Source organism: Homo sapiens, chromosome 4 (genome assembly GCF_000001405.40).
Source record: "Homo sapiens chromosome 4, GRCh38.p14 Primary Assembly".
Classification (NCBI taxonomy): domain Eukaryota; kingdom Metazoa; phylum Chordata; class Mammalia; order Primates; family Hominidae; genus Homo; species Homo sapiens.
In genome coordinates this window covers 169,049,556-169,058,413 of record NC_000004.12, presented here as the reverse complement: position 1 = coordinate 169,058,413, position 8,858 = coordinate 169,049,556, and positions in this window count along the sequence as shown.

Below are 8,858 nucleotides of genomic sequence, written 5' to 3'. Positions count from 1 at the left end.
AACGGCCCGGTCACCACCATGGCCTTTTGTTCCTGGAGAGGGACAGGAACTTTGGAAAGTGGGGTCGCTCTATTGCTTCTGCAGGTCATCTTCCCAGACTTGCCTAAGCCTCAGAATCTCAGTCTTCTGCTCTGTTTTGCACGTCTTTTTTGAAAGGTTTTTAAAAATTACAATCTACTGTACAGAAGAAAATAATACACAGAAAATAATTTTAGAAAATAATACAACAGATATCTAAGTATCCACCACCCAGATTGGACAACATATTAACATTTTGCCCCATCTATATCAGATATTATTTATTTTCTTTTTTACTTATTTTTGAGACAGAATCTCGCTCTGTCGCCCAGGCTGGAGCGCAGTGGTGTGATCTCAGCTCACTGCAACCTCTGCCTCCCAGGTTCAAGCGATTCTCCTGCCTCAGCCTCCCGAGTAGCTGGGACTAGTGGTGTGCACCACCATGCCCAGCTAACTTTTGTATTTTTAGTAGAGACAGGGTTTCACCATGTTGGCCAGGATGGTCTCGATCTCTTGATCTCGTGATCCGCCCGCCTCAGCCTTCTACAGTGCTGGGATTACAGGCATGAGCCACCTCGCCCAGCCTATTTTTATTTTTTTTAAGACATGGTCTTGCTCTGTCACCCAGGCTGGAGTGCAGTGGCACGATCTTGGTTCACTGTGGCCTTGACCTTCCAGGTGCAAGCAATCCTCCCATCTCAGCCTCCTGTGTAGCTGGGACTACAGGAGCATACTGCCACACTTGGCTGATTAAAACATTTTTTCTTTCTGCAGAGACAGGGTCTTACCATGTTGCCTAGGCTGGTCTTGAACTCCTGGGCTCAAGTGATTCCCCTGCCTCCGGCTCCCAAAGTAATGGGATTACAGGCATGAGCCAGCATGCCCAGCCTATATCAGATTTTTTTAAAATTGCAGATAGAATTAAAAACTTGCTTATCTATTTTTAGTAGAGGGAAAAACCTAAATAAGTTTAATTCTAGTAAGTTGCTGACTCTACACAACAACTTCCTTTCAGTCTTCAGATAATGGAAACTTTGTGGATTTATGCACAGCACCCAAACCCCAGAGATCTGCCCCAACAGAAAGATTGCCAACAAAATGTTTGTCTTAATACTTGAACAAATTTTTCTCAAACTTACATTGTATATTTTTCTCCACCAGTTTGCTAAATGTCCACAAGGTTAATACCCGCCCAGCCAAATGAAAAGACCACTGGGATCAGGTGCGGTGGCTCACACCTGTTATCTGTTCCAGCTACTTGGGGAGGCTGAGGTGGGAGGATCGCTGTAGCCTGGGAAATCGAGGCCGCAGTGAGCTATGATCAAGCCACTGCACTCCAGCCTGGCCAACAGCGCAAGAGCCTGCTCTAAAAAATCAAAATAAAAAAAAAAAGAGCATTGGGTCTCCAAAGGTAACAGGTGTGAAATACACCTTAGCCTACTCAGAATTTTGCCCCATGAAATAAGTAAGGATTATTAAATATTTCTGGAAACTCAAACAACTCTTTAAACAATGTTCACAATTTTTCAATGTCCACATCAGCCAAACCCACGGAAAGCTAAGCATTAATTCACCTACTGTTGGAGAGGCTAGACTATTTAAGGAATCTCTCCTGAATTCTAGTCCTGAATTTCCAATGCAACTCGTGTCCACTAGAATGTTCTGTGAATGTTTCAAGCTTGAAACGCCTGCAGCCAAACTTGTTTTCTTTCCATCCAATTATATCCTCTTTCCAATGTTCCCCTTTTTTCATTAAAGGCACCACTATTCTTCCAGCCATCCTGATTCACAGCCTCAGAGCTGGCCTCAATTTCCTTGTCTCCTTCGTCTTCCACATCCAATTATTCACTAAATCCTGTTGAATTTTTCTCAAAATATTTCTTGCACCTGTTTACTCCATTCTGCTCCCACTGCCACCTTTCTAATGAAGTATTTTCCACCTGTGTGTTTCGGCTCCTGCAGCAGATTCTGCATCTCCCCTTTCTCCTTTCAATGAATTATCAGTATCAGATTAATCTGCTGAAAGAAGCACTGTGTGCCATCCTGCTCAACATAATTCAGTGATTCCCAGATGGCTTACCAAATAACAGCTTTTAAAAAAATCCAGAACCTTCAGTGATCTTCACGATCTTTATATGTCCACCTTCCTAGACACATCCCACATTAGGAACCCATTGAAACCTCTGCCCCAGGCGCATGGCACTACTGGCTTGCTAATTCTGATTCCTGTTCAAGTATTTCTTTGGCCTAAGTATTCCTTCCCCTCCTTCACTACATGAACCAATCTTCATGGTGCTTAATATGAACCAGATCATCTGGTGGGCCTCTAATACAACAGTGAACAAGACAGAAACAACCCCTGCCTCCATATACTCCTTACAGCCTAGTGGAGAAAACAAAAGATGAACTGGCAGTTGGCATGCCAGGCTGTGCAGGAAGAACTGTGACAAGGAAAGACAAGGCTGAGGTGGGCGGATCACTTGAGGTCAGGAGCTCAAGACCAGCCTGGCCAACATGGTGAAACCCTGTCTCTACAAACAAAAAAAAAAATTAGCTGGTGTGGTGGTGGGCGCCTGTAGTCACAGCTACTCAGTAGGCTGAGGTGGGAGAATCTCTTGAACCCAGGAGGTGGAGATTGCAGTGAGCTGAGATTGTGCCATTGCACTCCAGCCTAGGTGACAGAATGAGACGCTGTCTCAAAAAAAAAAAAAAAAAAGGCCAGGACCCCAGAGCCAGGCATGGGGATTCAGAGCAGGCTTTTCAGAGGAAGGGATACCCAACCAAGTTTTGATCTGTTCTTCATGATGGCTAGTGAGGTGAAGGAGAGGGAGAAGGGTCAGAAAAGAACTCTACAGCAGAGAGAATCATCCTGCTCAGCCCCTATCCAACCTTTAATGCCCACCTCAAATGCCTTCCTTTTTTTTTTTTTTTTTTTTTGAGATGGAGTCTCGCTCTGTCACCCAGGCTGGAGTACAGTGGCACCATCTTGGCTCACTGCAACCTCTGCCTCCTGGGTTCAAGTGATTCTCCTGCCTCAGCCTCCCGAGTAGCTGGGATTACAGGTGCCTACCACCATGCCCGGCTAATTTTTGTATTTTTTAGCACAGACAGGGTTTCACCATATTGGCCAGGCTTGTCTTGAACTCCTGACCTCAGGTGATCCGGCTGCCTTAGCCTCCCAAAGTATTGGGATTACAGGCATGAGCCACTGCGCCCAGCCTCAAATGCCTTCTTGACCAGGCCGGTGGTGTACTGTGAGAACACAGACTTAAAGTCATCCAGAAACAAATCCTAACCCTGCCTCTGCTGCATGCTAGTTGTGTACATGACCACGCAAAATTTGCTCATTCTCAATATGAGTCAATCTCTGAATCTGTAAAAATACTCTTTCTTTTGACAGGGTCTCCCTCGGTTGCTCAGGCTGGTGTGCAGTGGCATGATCACAACTCACTGCAGCCTCGACTTCCTGGGCCCAAGCTATCCTTCCACCTCAGCCTCCTGAGTAGCTAGGACTACAGGCGTGCACCACTATAACCACCTAACTAAAAGACAATTTTTTTGTAAGGGTGGGGTCTCACTATGTTGCCCAGGCTGGTCTCAAACCTCTGGGCTCAAGCGATCTTCCTACCTCAGCCTCCCAAAGTGCTGGGATTACAGGCATGAGCCACTGTGCCCAGCAGAAATACTCTTACATTACAGAGTTTATTCATTAAATAAATATTAAGCACAAGAACCACATACTCTTCTCCGTGATAAGGATACACTTAAGAATAGGATAGAAATCTTGGCTCTTATGGTGCTTACATTCTAGTAAGGAAAAGGTGACAGTAAATAAGATAAATATGTACATTATGGAGTATATTGGAGGGTGATGGATTCTATGGGGAAAATACGTCAGAGAAGAGAGAGAGTAGGGGGGAATTGCAACTTTATTCATTTGTTTATTATTTAACTCATTTATTCAAACAAATAGTATTGAAGGTCTGCTACATGCCACACCCTGTTCTAGGCCCTGGGTGTATAGCAGGGAACAATGGACAATAACCTTTGCCTTTATGGAGCTTACATTCTGATCAGAAAGAGAGATAAGCAAAATAAAAATAGAAAAATATGGAGATGTAGCCGGGCGCAGTGGCTTACGCCTGTAATCCCAGCACTTTGGGAGGCCGAGGCAGGCGGATCACCTGAGGTCAGGAGTTTGAGACCAGCCTGGCCAACATGGTGAAACCCCATCTCTACTAAAAATACAAAAATTAGTCAGGTGTGGTGGCACATGCGTATAATCCCAGCTACTCGGGAGGCTGAGGCAGGAGAATCACTTGAACCCAGCAGGTGGAGATTGCAGTGGGCTGAGATTGTGCCATTGCACTCCAGCCTGGGCAACAGAGCGAGACTCCATCTCAAAAAAAAAAAAAAAAGCCAGGTGTGGTGGCTCACATCTGTAATCCCAGCACTTTGGGAGGCTGAGGTGGGTGGATCACGAGGTCAGGAGTTCAAGATCAGCCTGGTCAACGTGGTGAACCCTGTCTCTACTAAAAATACAAAAATTAGCTGGACGTGGTGGCACGCACCTGTAGTTCCAGCTACTCAGGAGGCCGAGGCAGGAGAATTGTTTGAACCTGGGAGGCGGAGGTTGCAGTGAGCCAAGAAGGCACCATTGCACTCCATCCTGGGTGACAAGGGTGAAACTCCGTCTCAAAAAAAAAAAAAAGAAAAGAAAAAAACATATGGAGATGTTAGTGCAAAATAGAAAGATGGATAGGAAAAATAGTAGATGAGTTCCAACATTCAACAGGGAGGCCAGCTAACCCGACTGAGAAAGCAGTAGTTATGAAAAGGTGTGGCGGGATCTAGGCCAGCCGTGTGAACAAATGGAGGAAGAGAATTCCAGGAACAGCAAGTGCAAAGATGCCACATTGGGACTGCATGGTGTGGGCAGGAGGAGCAAGTGAGGGGAGAGCAGAAAGAGGCAAACAGGGGAGAGCAAGGCAGGTCAGGGCCCTGTGGGTTATTGTAAGGACTTTGGCTTTTACTCGGAGTGACAAGGAAACCTAGTTTGGAGCAGAGGAGTTACCCGATCAGATTTGTATTTTAACATGGTGGCGCTGGGTCAAGAATAGTCAAGAAGAGGGACCAGGGCAGACGCTGGCAGGGCAGCTGGGAGACCACCGCAATCACCCAGACAAGGGGTAAGGAGGGTGTGGACAAGCGTGATGGCAACAGAAGACGGGCAGATGGCAGGGTTCTGGATGTATCTTAAAAGCAGGGCTAACAGGACTTGTGATCAGATACGGGATGCAGAAGAACTAAATTGATTCCATTTTTGGCTTGAGCAACTGGGAGAATGAAATAGCTCTTTACTGAGGCAGGGAAGACTCTGGGAGGAAAAGGTTGGGGGGAACTATCAGGAGTCCAGCTTTTGATGCGTTGAGTTTGCTTTAGGGTGATCCTGCAAAGTTTCACTGCAAAGGGGATAGTTCAGTAAAGACTTGAAGGAAATGAGGAGCAGAACTTGGGAAGATTAAATGAAAGGGTGTTTGAGAGGGCACTTCGCATAGTGCAGTGCCGGCCAGCTCAGGCTCCGTTAATTCCATTCCCTCATCCATAACAAACTTCTTCCGCTCCAGGGGGCAGGGGCTGGGAAGCATCAGTTCATTATTGGAAAATCCTCGCTCTAGTGGGTAGGCTGCACCTTGTGCATTGTAGTTGCCAAACTCTATTTGCTGAATTCACGAGAGAAAGGAATAAGCTATAATCAGTAAAGGAAACTGTTCCAACCAGCTTCCCTTTCTCCTTCCCTTCCAAAGAAGAGGTTTGAGCCAAGATGCTCTTGTGTCCGGGTGAGGGGAATTAGAGGTCTGAATCCTCTGTCTTATGGTGAACACAGCGTGGGGGTTCTCTGAGTGTAGAACCACCTGCAGCCCAATGAGCAGGGATAGTGGTAAAATATGAATTCTTGGACCCTTTCCCAGACCTTCTCATTTTGAGTTGTTAGGGGAGAAACGGGTATCTTTCTGTTACAGACACATGCAGTGCTTCCTTGGAAACTAAAGTTTAAGAACTACTGACACTAGGGAAGATGACCCTTCATTGACATTGCTCCTCGGAGGCAGATCATTTCCAGCCATGATGTGGTAAATTACAGCCGCTCTGCAATTTTATGAATAATGTGTGCTCATCACCTAATCAAACCTCTCCAGTGGAGGTAGAACCTGGCTGGCTCAGATCCCCACTCACATTGTCAGGTGATTGCTTTAGCAAAAGGCCTTCTGCCAAATACCTCTTGGTTGAACTTTGCAGCTTGAGGAGAGAAGTATGCACGAACACATAAATGCCAAATCTCTTATTATTCTGAGTTTTCAAACAATGAATACGATTCCACCCCACATTCTTGAGAAAGGGCAGCACACCTATCTCACCCTCAGCTGTGATGAAGCAAGAAACTCAGTTTCTTCACATTGCTCGGTGAGTCTATACCACAAACAGGACTAAAAGTCACATGTTGGCTTTGGGCACCATTTTATCGTGAGCCTTTCATAGCCCATCTTCCAAGGCTATTAAAATATCAGCTCCATGAGGGCAACATTCGTGTTGTTTATTGCTCTCTTCCCAGTGCCTAGAAGAGTGTGTGGCACACAGTAGTCATTCAGTAAACGGCAGAATGAATCCATTCCACTTCCTAAAGTGAAGAGCCAAATCGACACACATTCCCATCTGTGGAGTATCACAGTTTCCTGCAGTTTACTTCCACATACCTCACTCCACCAGTTAACTACCCCCTATATAAATCTGTGCAGTTTTCACTTAAGATATAACTTTCTGGTGACCCCATAAAAAATTGGCAGAAATTCTCAGAAAGGATGATAATGTAATTGGTCTTGTGGGGAATCCATGGAGGGATATATTTCACATTATTCATGTTTCCAGATGGGCTTCAGTCCCCAGTGCAGTCATTCCAGAACCCTTTCTCAGCGTTAAGTTTACTCCGAAAAATATAAATAGTGATTTAGGGCTTGATTGCTCCCACAAAAGGCACCCCTGTTTTGGTGCAGGGTGGGAAGGGGGGCAGAGGAAGAGGCAGCTGGGAAGCTGAGTGAGGGGCCAGGCGCCCGCTGGGTGTGAGCCAGCAGCTGGTCAGAGTATCTCTGGAGGATGAGGGTTTCGCAGGTGGGGGCTGGGGACTAGCTAGAGATGGGATTGTCCGTGGTCAGGCAGTTCAGGAAGCTTTCAGCAGCAATAAAGCTTGGATGTGGGCATGCCAAGCTTGGAGGAGATATGGGTCCATTCCCATCCTTCTGAAAAAACAGTCTTCAAACACCACGGCTAGTGTCCAAGGCTACTTAGCTCAGCTGGTTGGGGTGCTGGGCTACTAAAATTTCACTGTAGCATTTCCTGAATTCTTACTAGGCTCATATATTAACACCTTCAACAAATATTTGTGTGTCAGCCTCTATGCTGAGGGCTGGGGATACAGCTATGAACAAGGCTGTGAACTAAGTACTGTTTCTTTACCAGTGAATTCTTCCATTTCATGGGCCTCTGATTCTGGCCCTAGTCAGATATTTCTCAAATGCCTGACGTTGTTTCCAAAGGGGTACATTCGGAGTAGCTAGATCACAGCAAACGCTTCAAGAGTTCTCAACAATAGGTCAGTGGAACCTTGATATTCTAAGGACATAATGATCTAATTTAGACTGAAAATCATCTAGCCAAACACACACTAGGCATTTAATTCATGTAAGGCTCAATCAGAATGTCAGTATGAACCAGATAGGACAGAGTGTTCATTTGCAGAGAACAATATCCCGGCTTGCCTGGGCGGCTGCAAAGCCTTTAAACTGAAATCCTTGCTTCCACTCTTGCTCTGCACAGCAGCCAAAGAATTTTATCAACCCTCCACCGGCTTCCTGTTGCAATTCGAATAAAATTCCATCTCCTTACCAGGATCTACGCAGCCCTGGAGTCTGGCCCCTGGTTGTATCTCTGGAAGCTGGTCCTGGCCTTGGAGTTGACCTGAAACTCTTTCCCGCCTCATCTTTTCTCGCCTGGCTCCTCATTATGCAGAGCTTTGTTCAAATACAAAGCTCTCCTTCCCAGGGAGGTCCTTCCTGGCCAGTCTTTCTGTAGCAGTTCTGGACCTTCCCCACGGCATCTCTTTATGTCCTTAGCGTATTTCTTATTCTTCATAGTGGGAATATTATAGCAATTTATAGCAATAAATGTTTGTTGAGTGAATTAATATGCATCACACTTACTAAACACCCAAAGGTTTTCTGGGGATGTCTATGACTATTACCAGATGGCCAATGGTTTGCGGCACTTTATTTTTATATTTTTTTACAGCCCACCCATAGGAGATGACAGTACTTTATTTTATTTTATTTTTATTTTAAGAGACAGGGTCTCACTGTGTTATCCAGGCTAGTCTCGAACTCCTGGGCTCAAGCAGTCTTACCTCAGCTGCCCAAAGTGTCACCAGGCTGGAGTGCAGTGGCACGATCTCGGCTCACTGCAACCTCAGTGAGGTGTGAGCCACCACTTTTAAAACGGGCCTGACAGCACTTTTTAAAATCATATTTGAAAACCTGGTACTTGACACAGAGCCCTAGAACCTACTATTAACAAAGTGCTTAATATTGTTGTTGTTGTTGTTAAATTGATTCTAACTAAATTAACACCAGACCAGTGACTGGAAAAATCACATGTGACCAAAGAATCCCATTGATGGTGTCAGACAATGACCCAGGAAGAGGAGTTCATAGCGGCTGCTTGTTTCCTTACTGGAAATGCAGGGTGACAGCAGAACTCAGGGAACATGGTGCTACCCAGTAAAAGAAACA